The sequence below is a fragment of the Homo sapiens genome, chromosome 17, assembly GCF_000001405.40.
Source record: "Homo sapiens chromosome 17, GRCh38.p14 Primary Assembly".
NCBI classification, from domain to species: domain Eukaryota; kingdom Metazoa; phylum Chordata; class Mammalia; order Primates; family Hominidae; genus Homo; species Homo sapiens.
In genome coordinates, this window is record NC_000017.11 from 12,711,468 (window position 1) to 12,726,787 (window position 15,320).

Sequence of the window (15,320 nt, forward strand, 5' to 3'; positions counted from 1 at the left end):
CATGCATTAATTATTAATCCATGCATCTTTTAAATAGTTAATTTTATGTTTTTGAGTTAATTTTCTAATTAATGGTATATAAATTTACCAGCTAGTGCTTGTTGATGAGAACAACCGTAACTAAACCAAGTTGCTATGATTCCAGGCAGGAGCAATGAAAAGTGACAGCTTTGTTAGTCCAAGCAGCCTTTCTCTGGACAGACATACTCTTTCTCTTCAGCTTCTTGAAATGCTGAAAATCAGTCCTGATGATTCATTGCTCCATTTTTGAAGTCCTAGGTTCCCAACACCCCTAGATCAAGATCCACTGGACTTAGAAATCCCATCACAGCGGTTCTGAAGCTTTTGCATCAGAATCACCCAGAAGGCTTGTTAAAACAAAGATTCCTGGGTTCTACTGAGAGTTTCTGATTCTGTGGGGCTGGGTTGGGGCCCAGGAATTGGGATTTCTTTTTTCTTTTTTTTTTTTTTTTTGAGACAGAGTCTCACTCTGTCGCCCAGGCTGGAATGCAGTGGCGCGATCTTGGCTCACTGCAACCTCTGCCGCCTGGGTTCCAGCTAATTTTTGTATTTTTAGAAGAGACAGGGTTTCACCATCTTGGCCAGGCTGGTCTTGAACTCCTGACCTCATGATCCACCTGCCTCAGCCTCCCAAAGTGCTGAGATTACAGGTGTGAGCCACCACACCCGGCCAAGAATTGGAATTTCTAACGTGTTCCCAATTGCTGAAGATGCTGGTCCGGAAGCTGCACTTAGAGAACGCTGCACTCGTTGCCGCCCCAAGTCTCTGGCTCTTTAATTCTTCCTCTTGGTCCTCTTAGTAGCAATGGATCTGGTATTGCTCCAAGCCTGCAGCTGAATGGTCCCATTAAGAGAAGTCAGGGTCTGCACCAGGCACAGCCCAACACCAGGTACAGCCCCTGCTTCTGTTGCTGGAGTTGCCCAACTCCAGGGACCCTACCCTGTGCTGAGGAGTGAGGCCCCTGCCTTCAATGAGTTCTCTGTGGTTCCACGACCTGTCTTCTCCTTTTTCTGGGATCCTGCTGGAGGCACGAGGTTACAGTGGAGAGCAGAGGACTGCAGGAAGACTGTTCTTATCTTGGGATCTTTTTTCTAAGTTCTAAGTCAGCAAATGTTTATATGCTCGGCTGACCCAAATTAGCGATAGCTTTGGGGACAGAAATAGGAATAGCCCACAACAAAACTCTGAGGCAAGAACACAAATTCCCTTGTGAGGAGCCATTAATCTTCCTCCAGGGAGAATGAGTTAGATGTGTGGCTGACTGAATTTACAACAGTATTTTAATTCAAAATCACATGGACTTTTTTAAAAATTTAGAATCCAAATTCCTTTTCAATCTTAAAAGTCAAAGTTCTTTAAATACAAAATGTTGCCATTTGATACTCCCCAGGCTGGCAGCAGAAGTGGTTTTTTGTGTATTTTCCAAAAACCCAACTGAGAGGTGGGGGGCTCCATTGCTTTTGTTGGCCTTCATGGGAGGTGGCTAAAACCCACGGTCTCTGAAGTCACTGAGAAAGCAAACCTCAACCCCAGGCCCATGGCAGGATAGTTTTCCATGGTGTGACCTCAAGCCAGTGGCCCATATAACACCCCTTAACCTCTGAGGAGAAGAGCATGTGGTAAAATGCAGCATGTGAACCTCTCTGGCTTTCTTCCCAAGTGCTTGCTAAATGGAGATAGTTTCTTCCACCCTGTGGCAGAAGGTTCCAGAAGACCTTTGTGCTCCTGGCATCAGAGAACTGGACCGTGTGAATCATCTCACAGGGGAGTTATTAACACCAAGAAGTGATGAATTGTAGTTCTACGAAGCTGAGATACAGGAAATACAGTGTTTCTTAGAACAATTAATAAGCTTTGCTAATAAGAATTGAACAGCCTCAGAGACATGAGAACCCATTAAATTCCTCCTAAACCCCAAGCCCAGTTAAAACCAATTGTGTTTGGAATGTCAGCGATATCCCAAGATCTATTCATGCTAATCCTTTCAGGGAGTTTCTAGAGGAAAAGGGCATGTTATTCTTTTTAACCACTTAATAAGGCCACACGAAGATCCATTCATTTTCTGGGTTATGTAAGTAATTAAACTACACTAATATACAATACCTAACTAAATGATTACCAGGAGATAGGACAGAGGTATTGATACAGATTGTGTAGATCCACAATGGCCCGCTGGACTTCAAGCAGACTTTGTATCATAATCTGGTTGCTTAGGGGGAAAGGGAGTTGCTTTGCAGAACTCCCTCGACATAAATTCCACCTGCGATCAAACACAGGAAAAGGCAAGCCTTATTAAGGATGATGACCAGACCCAACTCAAAGAAAATGCATGCGCAACACAGGACAGCTGCACGTTAATTTCTCAGAATCACTGAGTTGGGAGAAATGGGAGAAAAGGGTCATCTAAAAAGGGAGGTTTTGCAGAGAAGCTCATTTTAAGAGTAAAAAGCAGAAAGCAAAGATAACTGAAAAACAATTTCTAGATCAATGGTATTCAAGAAGCATGTTCATTTTTTTTTCTATAAGAAGGGAAGTCTCTTAATCTTTGGTCAAAGTGAGAAGGATGCCTGTCAACTATTTTTGGCACAAGGAAGCCAGATGGGGCAATTCTGCATGTTCCTTCAGCCAACATTGTTAATGTTGGGGTGAACAGGGAGATTTATAGAGAGCGTGACCTGTTAACTCCCCAAGCAGCATCCTTAAAGAGGATACTATGGCCAACTACCATTATGGTAGCCGTCATGACTACAACTATGTCTGCTTGATCTCCAGCAAACCCTGCTGAAAACTATGTTCAGATTCAGCATGGTCTTAAGGGTTGAATGAGGCACGTGCACACACACACACACACACACACACACACACACACACACCCCGATCTGGTCAGAAACCTAATTTTTGTGCTGGCCAAGATTTGGAAGAATATTTCATCACCTGCAGCTTACAGTAGACCACTGTTCTAGTAACATTGGAACTCGGGATCATGTGATTCCTCAAGTTGTCCAGACATACAATTCAGGGGAAAAAAAATCAATGCAAGTCTGTAACTGCTAATCAACCTCATCACTAATCATGAAAAGTGATTATTTGTGGCTCCTGATTGAGATTGTTCTAGATTAGGAAAATCAAGGCAAAATGTAGAATTTTGCAAAATGATGTTCTACTTCTTTGCTCAAAGGAGTTTATTAAATCCCCATAAGAGGTGCTATGAAGGGTGATGAGGAGGAGGTCATGGGAAGAGAGTGAAGGCTGGCATTCCATCCAGGTTGTTCACGGCTGCTGTGTGTTCTGTATGACTGACCAGTGCCTGTGTCTACTGGTTGTTAATATTTTACATATCACATCTTGAAAGAGGTTAGAGTTGTCACAGGACCTATGCTCCTAGCCCTAACTGATCCTGGGCAAGTCAGTCAATTTCTGTGGACCTCAGTTTCCCCATTCTGTTCACGGTTGGAGTTAACTTCCCTGTCTCCAAGGTTCCTTCCAGCCCTCAAAGTTTGATTCTCTGCTTCTCACTCAACACCCTTAGTTGCATGTTCCTGACCTACCAGCCACACACTTTATCCAGAGTACCGTCCCTTCCTCCAAAGCACCACCCCACCCCACAGACACAGACCACAGTCATCCCCCAAGCCTTTTGCACTCTAGGGCAGAGCAAAGTCAAAGAGGGTGGTAGTTACCCAAGTCTACACCTCTCCCTCAAACCAGAGCGTTATTTCTGTTTTCAGTTTTCCACCACCCCTTCTATTTCCTCCGGAACTTGGAATGCCCTGCCTCCATCACTTCTCTTCTTGTTGCACATCCTGCCTCTGCTACTCCCCGTTTGAGGCTTCGATTCCACTTCCTCTGTCTCCTACGGCTTCAGGGCCGCTGGTGTCCTCCAGGCCTGTCCTCTCTCATTGCTTGTGGCCTAATAAAGGCAATCACCTCCCTACTGTGCATAGCTCAGCAAGCACACCAGCAAACTCTGCGATACAGACCAATGCCCTTAACCCAGCCTCCACTCACGTTTTTGTGTTTCTGTTTCAGCACTGAAACGTCCAGCTGAATTCCATGAGCAAAGAAAACATTTGGATAGTGACAAGGTAATTTTTGCAAATTTCTTGACCCAAGCTTAGACTATAGGTTATGAATCTCTGAATGCTAATCCTTGGTGGATGCGTGTAGAATTCCTACAACAAACACAATCAATTTGCCAGTCCCCTGCCCTCATATCATGTGGAATCTTACTCCTATTAACCGGTAACTATAGAAATAGGATCAACTATATTAGCTTTGAAACTCCTATTTTTCAGCTTTTTTAAAAAATGTCCCCAATTTTTCTAATGTTGGAAGAAATTACAGTAGGGATGCACTGGAGTCAAAAACACTTTAGAGAAGGAAGTGGAGTCGGTTTTCAAGCTGCCTTACCTGTTATTACTGTCATTTCTTAACAACAATCAGATTTTAAAAAATCCAATTCAAGGGTAAGGCATGGTTTATGCATACAGAACTCATTTGTAGCTACTTAAAGGCAAAAGGTTATTTTGCTTTTTTCCCTTCTTTTTTTGTAACATTTGAGGGTGAGATTTGGCATATATTCTGTACCTTCATAACAAATCTCTGCAACTTGAATTTGTCAATAATATATTAATAAATACTATTTAGCAAGTATCAACACTTTGAGTGAGAAGGAAAGGCAAAGAGAGTATCTGCCTGCTGGTATTTCCTTACCTGAGAGTACTAGCCTTGCAGCTTGTCTATGGGTAGAGAGGAAGAGGAGGGATCTGCAACTCTTCAAAGTAGCTCACAAGTGGCTGTGATTCCTACTACCTGGAGAATAACAAAGAACAGCAGACTCTTATCAGAACTGGAGTGATTCCCAGACCCCTCTCAGGGGGCCACTGGGAGATCCACTGTAGTGAGATAAAAACCCAGAACTAGACATCAGAAACCTGGGGTCCAGTGTTGGCCCTCCCACAGCCTGTAACAGCCCTACCGACAGCCCCATCAAGAAGGTAATGAGACTGGGTAGATAACCCATCTCTTCATGCCCATCCAGTTCCTGGTGGGTCTGAATCTGTAGGCTTTACATTTTCACATGTCCTAAAAGAGAAGTCAAGCGAATAACGGGAAAGAGGCATACGTTGTCATGTTATATTAGATGGATTTAGGCAATGTTTTAACTCTGGTCTTGGTTAATTTTGTGACTGTTTTCAGAGGAAATGGAGGCTGGGTGCTGTGGCTCATGGCTGTCCCAGTACTTTGGGAGGCTGAGGTGGGCAGATTGCTTGAGTCCAGGAGTTCAAGACCAGCCTAGGAAACATGGTGAAACCCTGTCTCTACTAAAAATTAAAAATTAAAGAAAAAAATTAGCTGGGTTTGGTGATGCATGCCTGTGGTCCCAGCTACTCATGGGACTAAGGCAGGAGGATCACTTGTGCCCAGGAGGTCAAGGCTGCAGTGAGCTTTGATTGTGCCACTGCATTCCAGCCTGGATGACAGAGATGCTGTCTCAAAAAAAAAAAAAAAAAAAAAAAAAAAAAAAAAAAGGCAATGGAATAAGATTCATTATAATACAAACAGCCTAGTGTTCTGTTATAGTGACATGTTATTAACATGTACCAACCTGCCTGTCCCTGAAAAAGCTTTAGGTTTGTAGCCCTGATGTGGACCCAAGCTCTTTACCTTCTTATCTTATTTTCCCATCTAAAAATTACTCGAGGGGTCTTTGGAAATGTTCCTTCATCAAAATGTGGGACACCAAGAATATTTTCATGTTTCATTTATTATTTTAAAAGGTTATTTTCTCCTGTGAGATAAATTGAGTTTTTTAAAAGGTAAAACTAGGTGATTTCTCTTGTTTGGGTTCTACAGGCTAAAAATTCCCTGAAGCGCAAAGCCAGAAACAGGTGCAACAGTGCCGACTTGGTTAATATGCACATACTCCAAGGTAAGGCTGCAAGAAATCAGACACCAAGAGATGCTGCAGAATGGTGGGCCATTTTCCCAGAGTTACTTGTCTCTGTACAGTTGCTAAGCCCTCTTAAAAATCTCCCTTGCCGTTACAAAGTGGTAGTTTCAAGTAATCATCTAAGCCTTCTAGGCCACGTAGATACCCAAGTTGGGAAGCCATAAAATGGTTAAGCGGGTTAGAGACTTGGGCTCTAATCTCAGCTGTGCGATCTCCTAACTCTAAGGCCTGGGCAAATCACATAACTTCTAGGAGTGCATGGAACACGTCCAACATGTGCTGACAATTATTACTAATCTGGATCATCACTCACTTTGGAAGAGGATCACAGTTCCCTTGCTACCTCTGTATTCTCCAGGTAATTGATTGTCCTTTGCTGATGCCTTTACCTTCTGGTGTGCAGGGAATACAATCTGAGGAAATTAGTGCTGATCAAAGTAGGCCTAGTTCTGCCTTAGGGTGCCACCTCTGTGCTGGGGTATGTGAGACAAGGCAAACAAACAACTAACTGGTCCCCATATTCTGACATCTGCATGCAGGAGGAGTGGCTTCTACTCCCGCCTCATAAGTTGCCTTCCCTGAGACAGAATCCCCGAGACCATTGGTGCCCACCCTAAAAGAGGTCCAATCCCTAATTTGACAGTTACCTATGAGATATTTGTTCCTTGAACACACACTGTATTGGGTGTCTGCTAGGAGTTGGCTGCTCTGCCAGGCCAGTGGGTTCAACGATGAATAAGACACAGGTTTGTGCCCTCAGAGGGTCTCACAGTATAACAGAGGACACGAGAATCACATTTACAATCCAGCATGAAAAGAAAGGAAATGCCTGGTGTGGTGGGTGTATGGAAGAGGATCAAAGAAAAGAGCCATCGGAATCAGAATGGACAGGGGAGGAGTGAGGAAATGGGCTGGAACGTGAGGGCTGAGCCAGGTAGAAAAAGATGGAAGGGGGTCGCAGTCTGAGGGAACAGCCTGCACAAGGCCTGCATGCTATTTCTCTAGAATGTGGATTTCCTTCCAAGACTGAACACTAGCTTTAAAGCGCACGAAAGACTCTGAAATATATCCTGGAAATTGTGAACCTTGGTTCTTTGAGTGACATCATTTGTTATTTATTCTGGCTTTCCAAGACTGACCCTTTTTCAACCCTAAAGTAGGTGGGATATTTTAAGACGGAGAACTGTTTTCAGGGTAGGGAAAAGAAAGAGGCCAATGCTGAACTCAAGGGAAGGCTGTGTGGGATGGGAGGCTTTGATCTGCGTGAGGCAGCCAAAGGATGCCAGGTGTCTGGAAAACAGAAAAAAGTCCCTCAAAGGGAGGTGACAGAATTCTTACCTCCTTTGCAATGGTGTCTACAAGCCTAGAAGCAGCTGCTATGTCAGCACAAAAATCACTGCTGCACAAAAATCCAAACGATGTCATTTCAAATGACATACAGACCTTTCAGGCCGGGTGTGGTGGCTCACGCCTGTAATCCCAGTACTTTGGGAGGCTGAGGCTGGCAGATCATTTGAGGTCAGGAATTCAAGACCAGCCTGGCTAACACCGTGAAACCCCATCTCTACTAAATATACAAAAACTTAGCCGGGTGTGGTGGTGGGCGCCTGTAGTCCCAGCTACTCAGGAGGCTGAAGCAGGAGAATTGCTTGAACCTGGGAGGCGGAGGTTGCAGTGAGCTGAGATCGCGCCACCGCACTCCAGCCGGGGCCACAGAGGGAGACTCTGTCTCAAAAAAAAAAAAAAAAAAAAAAAAAAAAAAGACATACAGACTTTTCAGTGATCAAGTTAACAAATAAAAATAAGTATCATGTGTGGCAAGAGTTACATGCGTTCCCATACACTGCTGGTGGGAGTGCAATTGGATCAACTTTTCAGGAGGGCAATTTGATAACCTGTATCAAACTCCTTAAAAATGTGCCCACCCTTTAGCTCATAATATAATGTCTAGTATTTTATTCAAAGAAAATAATCAGACAAAGATTTATCTCACAATGATGCTTATCGTGGAATTACTTTAGATGGTGAAAAATAGTGAAATGTCTAACAATAGAGGATTGGCTGAATAAACTATGGATCAACCATACAATTTAATGCTAATACAAGAGTTATTAAGAAATTATTTTTAGGCTGGGTACAGTGGCTCACGCCTGTAATCCTAGCACTTTGGGAGGCCGAGGCGGGCGGATCACCTGAGGTCAGGAGTTTGAGACCAGCCTGGCCAACACAATGAAACCCCGTCTGTACTAAAAATACAAAAAAAAAAAAAAAAAAATTAGCCGGGCGTGGTGGCACGTGCCTGTAATCCCAGCTACTCGGGAGGCTGAGGCAGGAGAATCGCTTGAACCCGGGAGGCGGAGGTTGCAGTGAGCCGAGATCGTGCCATTGCACTCCAGCCTGGGTGACAAGAGCGAGACTCAGTCTCAAAAAAAAAAAAAAAAAAAAATTTTAGGCAGCTAGAAAGGGTAAAAGAATTCTCGGTGGAATTTTCCTTTAATAAATAGCAGCTCCAAACCATTTCTTCTCTGACAGAAAGCAGTCTGAAATAGATATGCAGACTAGGAGCTTTTATATGTAAATGTCGTTAGCTGTACCTGGAAGCCAGGAATATTGAAAATGGCGTCTCCCGCTCTTTTCCTTGTCACCACGTTTACCAGTGTCATGGCAGCCTCCAGGTACCACATGTACAGGGATCATGGCCGCCTCCAAGTGGAGGCCGTATTTGCATAATAAAAGACTAGGGTGGGAGGGCCAGTCTTTTCAGGGGCTATGTAAATGACACAACTGGTCAAACCAATCCCCTGGGACCTATGTAAATCAATCACCGCCTCCTCAAGCCTCTGTACAAAATCGATTGCTCTCTGCCACAAACCGGAGACCCTTCTTGGGCGATCCGCTTTCTCAGCATGTGGAAGGTTTTTCTCTCTCTCTTCTTTTTCTACTAAACCTTCCGCTCCTAAACCCATTCCTCGTGTGTATCCCTGTCCTGAATTCTTTCTCGACCATGACAAAGAACCAGGTATATATCCCAGACAACAGACCCATTTCAATACCATAGAGCTACTACAAACAAGGCTTTCAAAGAGTAATTTAATGAGAAAAGGTTTACAGGACAATGTTTAGGAAAAAGAGCAAAAATCAAAACTATATTTGCTGCCAAATTCTGGGAAGAAAAATTATATACTTATTATATACTTAAACTATATTCATAGTCAGATTCTGGGAAGAAAAACATAAACCTACCAATCAATATAAATAACTAAGAAAGACACACAGGTCTTAAAAATAGGTGACACCGGCCAGGTGCGGTGGCTCACGCCTTGTAATCCCAGCACTTTGGGAGGCCGAGGCGGGCGGATCATAAGGTCAGGAGATCGAGACCATCCTGGCTAACACAGTGAAACCCCATCTCTACTAAAAATACAAACAATTAGCTGGGCGTGGTGGCGGGTGCCTGTAGTCCCAGCTACTCGGGAGGCTGAGGCAGGAGAATGGCGTGAACCCGGGAGGCAGAGCTGGCAGTGAGCCGAGATCACGCCACTGCACTCCAGCCTGGGCAACAGAGCAAGACTCTGTCTTAAAAAAAAAAAAAAAAAAAAAATAGGTGACTCTAAGTAGGGATTTTCCTGAAGCCTTCATTTTTTTTTGCACACTTTTTTTTTTTAGCATTTTTCACATTTATGACAATGAGGACACAGTAATGCTATAATCAAAAAACATATGAAATGTTATTTCTTCCATCATTACGGTCTTGAATTAAAATAACAGGGTGTGAACTGCACCAACCCCCAGTTCAATTGCATGTCTCTGGTGCCTCCCATGGGGTCCTCTTTTGTCAACAGAAATTGGGAATTAGCTTCTTGGAGCATAAAAGATCTGCTAGATACAAAATGACTCCTGCTGCCCAGGAATTTATTGCCCAGTTTCAGAGGCAACAAGATGAAGGGTTTGTCCTTGTAACTGCTAGAGGCAGTCAAAGCGAAAGAGATCTATAAGAACAGGAAGAGTTAGGAAAGCCTTATGCTGGGACCCAAAAGTACGATGTTGGTAATGGGGAGTGGGGAAGAAGTTCAAGGTGGGGAAAGGAAATAAGCCAAGGTGCAAAGGTGAATGCAGCAAGACATAGAGGACAGAAGGATAAGGACCAGGCTCTCTGGAATGGTAGATTTGGGCTGGAGAGCCACAGGTCATGGCAGGAGGTAGATTAAATTTGTAGCAGTCTTGAAAAACTGGACTGAGAGATGTGGATGGTGGGAAGCATCTTGTACGGAGGCACCAGAGGAAAAGAGGGCTTTCTGAAGATCAGTCCTGAGTTGGTACACAGGATGAGTCAGAAAGATGGCTGAGGCAGAGAGCCAGCAAGCTGCCCTTGCAAGGAACTGTAAGGGGTGCTTTGGAGAGGACATGGGCTTTGGTATGCCCATTCTTTGGTTTGGAGTATTGACATTCCCTCCATTGAATGTGAAATGCTTTGAAGAGGCAGCTTCCACAGCCAAGCCTGTGGCAACCAATAAGACATCCCTAGACTTCTTCTGTATGGAGAGTTCTAGATCAGTGCCAGACACAGGGTCTGGGATTAGCAGGTTGATAATAATAAAATAAGGGGGCTAAGGGACTTGTCTGTAAATATCTCACTTTCTAGATTTATGAAGTTGAGAGTGAAGGTGCAAACTCTTATAGAATCTTAACTTACAGTTCTCCATGACAGCAATAAGTTGGCTGGATTCTCTTCTGAGTTCTTCCACAGAAATAAGTCAGGGCCCAACCTAAAAAGGAAGTTTGGTGTCAGCTGTATCGAAGTGGATTTAAGGCTCTGTACGTGACCTTTCACACCCTCCAAATGATGAGAAACTGCCTGTGGATGAATTCAACTTTTAAAAATCCCTCTGTTTAATTAAATAACTGTTTCAATGGAATTTTTTTTCTTTCGCAACTGACCTGGACATTTGACTCAGTCGGTCACAGCATTGACTAGTCCAAAATCCTTTAAAAGTCATACTAGTACTACTAATTATAACAACAGATAACATTTACTGCAGGCCTAGCCTGTGCCAGTCACTATGCAGACCAAATGTGCATCCAAGTGCCATAGCTTAGGGTTAGGCAAACAATACAGGCCCTGCAGACTGGTTGCTTACAAAATCTCCAAATTGTACATTTTTTCACGAATCCTCGCAAAGCAAGCTTCTCTAACTTTTCCATGTGCCTCTCGATTTGCCTTTATTTGGAAGTGTCTAGGCTTTGGTGCTAATCCCTGTAAAGTGATGATGATTGCATCGAAAAATTATTAGGATGGTAGAGCACAATGTGACACAATCGTTTGTAACCACAAGCCAAAAAACAAAAAAGAGAGAGACAGAGACATCAAATTCTAGAACTGATCCTTTTCATTTCAACCCTTTAGCTTCCACTGCAGAGAGGTCCATTCCAACTGCTCAGATGAAGCTGAAAAGAGCCCGACTCGCCGATGATCTCAATGAAAAAATTGCTCTACGACCAGGGCCACTGGAGCTGGTGGAAAAAAACATTCTTCCTGTGGATTCTGCTGTGAAAGAGGCCATAAAAGGTAGTTAGAACAAATGGCATGTCTCTCCTTGGTGCTATTGAGATCTGAGGGCAGCCCGGAGCTCTGACATACTAGGATCTTTGGGGATGAGGGCCTCTCACCAGATAAGAGCCATACCATGGGTTGTTAGTCCAGTTAATTCTCCATAACCAGGGATCCTGGGCATTTGTTGCAATCCCCATTCTTGTACACCCCAAGGCCAAGTCAACACAGGGTAATTTTGCTCTAGTCAGGCAAGTTGAGAACCTGACCAGGTGTAATGCTCAAAACATCTCCCCTATAAGACATCCATTACTTAGGAGTCACAGTCATGGTCCTGTTTAGCCTTCCTTGTTTAAAGAGAGGTAGACTGTATCAGCGGAAAGAGCACTGGCCCCAGACTAGAAAACCCGGACCCTAGATCCAGTTGCCCAATTCACTTCACCTTGAGATGGAGGTGACAGTACTCACCCTACCCAGCTCACAGGCTCCTGGGAGTGAAATTCATGGTAAACAGTACATGTAAAAACTCTGACAGCTCTCACTTGCTCCACGAAGTCAAAGGACAAATACTCAAAAAGGAGACACAAATACTGATTCTGTTATAAACTGTATAACATCGTTTTGTAGACTTTTTGAACAACTGATACTAGGTGGACCCAAACAGCCTGCCAGTACTGAATTCACTCATAGAGGCTTTGGGGTGGAACCCAGGAAAACTATGGTATCAGGGAGAAAGGGGAGCTTAATGCTCCTACAGACACACTTAGCTTTCTCCAGCTATGCCGCAATCCGCTCTGAGAACTATTGGTAGATATTAATAAGCAGTGTATATTTAAATGTTTTGACACATTGTCAAAAAGTAGGTGTAAGGGCATTTTATCCAAAACTAAGTTTATTATAAAACTTGTCATCAAGTTTATTCACATTCTAAAATCTTGCTCTCACCCTGCGATTCAGAGGCCACATGAATTTTGCCTTTGGAACTGGTAAATATGAAAATATCAACTCCAGGAGAGGCAATATACTTGTCTGTCAGTGTCTACTTAAATATCCCACTGTGATTTTCTCTCTCATCTACTCTCTCCCTCCCCACTAAATATCTGGGGCCTTTGAACTTGGCCTTGAGTATTCAAGAGTGCACTGCCACCATGTTTACTCTGATAAGCTCTTGGGCAGGTAAAAATCTCCATCAGGCATCTCTTATTGTTTCTTAAAACATTCTGTTCTGTGCCTGTAAATTTATTTATTTATTTTTCTTTTGTTGAGTGCATGTAAATTTAAGATTTATTTTTACATGATAGGAAAAAGGTCTCCTTTCAATTTGCATTCTTTGGTTTCTAGTAGATTATATTTTTCCTTGTGATTATGTATCGTTGGCAATACATGACTTTTTCTCTGAAAAAGAAAGCTGAGCATGTTCTCGCTTTACTGCTTTGTGTATGCTATTTATATAGGGAAAAAATGCTAATCCTCCATCTGTCACAGGTATCTCACATCCTTTTACCAGTTTGTCCTTCACTTTTTATTTTTTTATATGGTCAATTTTACCTATAGCAGTTCCTAATTAATCTATAGTCAAATCCGCTCATCTTTTTCATTATATTTTCTGAATTCATTTTTATTGAAAATATTTCCTAACTTAAAAATATAGAGTTTATTCACCTAGATTGCCTTGTAATATCTATATACTTTTATTTTTACATTTAAATCCTTAGTATGTCTGAAACTATTTAAGTGGTTGGTTTAAGAGAGAGGTCTAATTTTTTTGTTTATCACAATTTTATGATCTATTTTACAATTTGTGTTAATATCTGTCTTCACAAGTTTCTTTACATTTGTCTGATTTTTCTAAAGTTTCATGGCTACTCTTGCAAGTATATTTTAAGTGAAAATTAGAATCAATTTTTTGTGTCAACTTCAATTCTATTGCAATTTTGTTTAGGATTGCACTGAATTTATATGTTAATTTATGGTGAATTCATGTGTTTAAAATATATAATTTTATAAATTCTTCCATAGTATCTATCTCCACTTATTCAAGTCTTTTTTTTATTTCCCTTTGCAAAGTTTGTTGTTTTTAAGTAAAGTCACATTGATTATTGCTGATATATGGGAAACCTATTAATTGCGCACATTTATTTTATAACTGGGCAGTGTCAAAGATCTTAATAGTTCCAACAGTTTCTCAGTTTATCTTAAGTTGTCCAGGTCTAAGGGAATGGAAATTTGTTTTCTGCTTCATTTTTATTTTCTGCCTTGGTTCACTGGCTGGTACTTGAAAGACAACAACATGATTAGCATATTATAGAATTAATATATTTTCTAAAAATCTATGTAGTATATTAATAAAATAAATTACATGTCATGTTTATGTATTTTATTTATGAATATAGTATATATTATTTATGCATTATACACACTTTATATAAATTATATATTATAAAGTATACTATACTATATTATGCAAACCAAATAATATATATCTTATACAAAATATCTATATCATATAGATGTTTATCTTATATATAAAACTATATGTATGAATTATATAAAGCACATGTTTATATTATACAATAATATGTTAATATATAATTTAATAATTATTGATATATTACATAGTGGAATACTATTGTTATTGATACCTTGCCAGTGCCTCAAAAGTAATATTATATTATATGTATTATATTATATTAGTGTTGCTGTATGTTTTATATTATGTTATAATGTCTTATATTGATGATTACATACATTTTTGTTTTGTTTCTCTCTTAAATCGGATTTTTCTAGTCACTCACATCTGTATATGATGTAGCCTTTGGTATAGGATAGATATTCTAAGGAAGTATTTCTCTATTCCTATCCCACTAAGAGTAGTTTGCAAGATAGATGTTGAGTTTTTTTAAACGCTTTTAAAGCATATCAAAAGATGATGAGGTGGCTTTTCTTCTTTGACCAAGTAATGTGATATTGCTACCTTTCCTAATCTTCCTTGAATTTCTAGGGGAAAACAATCTGTCATAAATTTGGTTCTAGAAATTGCTAGTATTTTATTTGGGATTTTGCATCTATTTCATTATTAGTTGGGATAATGCTGGCTGGGGAACAAACCACAAAACTTCAACAGCTTAACAAGAAAGGTGTATTTCTTGCTTAGAAAGAGTTCAGAGAGGCTTTTCCTCCATGAAAAGCCTCCTTCAGTCTTGTTGCGCCATCATTCCCTACAGCGAGGGTGGCACTTTTTCTTAAGGGAGCAGATAATAAATACTTGAGACTGCCCCTGTCACTACTCAACTCTGATGTTGTAGCAGGAAGGTTGCCATGGGCAGTAAGTAAACAAATAGGCATGACTATGTTCCAATAAAACTTTATTTACAAAAACAGGCTGCAGGCACACAGGCCTCAGTTTGCCATTCTCTGCCCTAGAGCTTTGTCATTCTCTGAATGTATCCAGCAAAGGGGGAAGAAAAGATGAGAAGTTTCATCCACTTATTAAAAAAAATCTCAACCTGGAAATGAACACATCACTTCCACTCACATTCCATTGTGAGAACAGTACAAATGGCTGAGAAAGGTATTCTCTGGCTGAACAGCCATTTCCAGCACTGCCTCTGTATTATGGAAGGGGGATCCTGGTTTTTGATAAGTAGCTAGTCCTGTCTGCCACAATATTCATAAATGATGCTGGTCTATGTTGTTTTTTATTTTTCAGATTTAAATGTCAAACCTACACATACTTCACAAAATAGTTTATGATTACCTTTTCATATTTTTTCATGTTCTGGAAGCATTTAAATATG

The 15,320-nt window shown here is 41.3% G+C and overlaps 1 protein-coding gene across 5 annotated transcripts in view; it reads left to right on the plus strand.

Annotated features, from left to right (window-relative positions):
* MYOCD (myocardin) overlaps positions 1-15,320 on the plus strand; it is a 103,060-nt gene that overhangs the window by 45,578 nt on the left and 42,162 nt on the right. For all 5 annotated transcript variants that reach the window (NM_001378306.1, NM_001146312.3, XM_005256863.1 and 2 more), the window contains 3 exons: positions 4,052-4,107; positions 5,879-5,954; positions 11,380-11,541. In NM_001378306.1, the coding sequence (NP_001365235.1) occupies positions 5,939-5,954; positions 11,380-11,541 (178 nt within the window). In that variant the 5' untranslated portion in view covers positions 4,052-4,107; positions 5,879-5,938. The remainder of the gene's footprint in view (positions 1-4,051; positions 4,108-5,878; positions 5,955-11,379; positions 11,542-15,320) is intronic.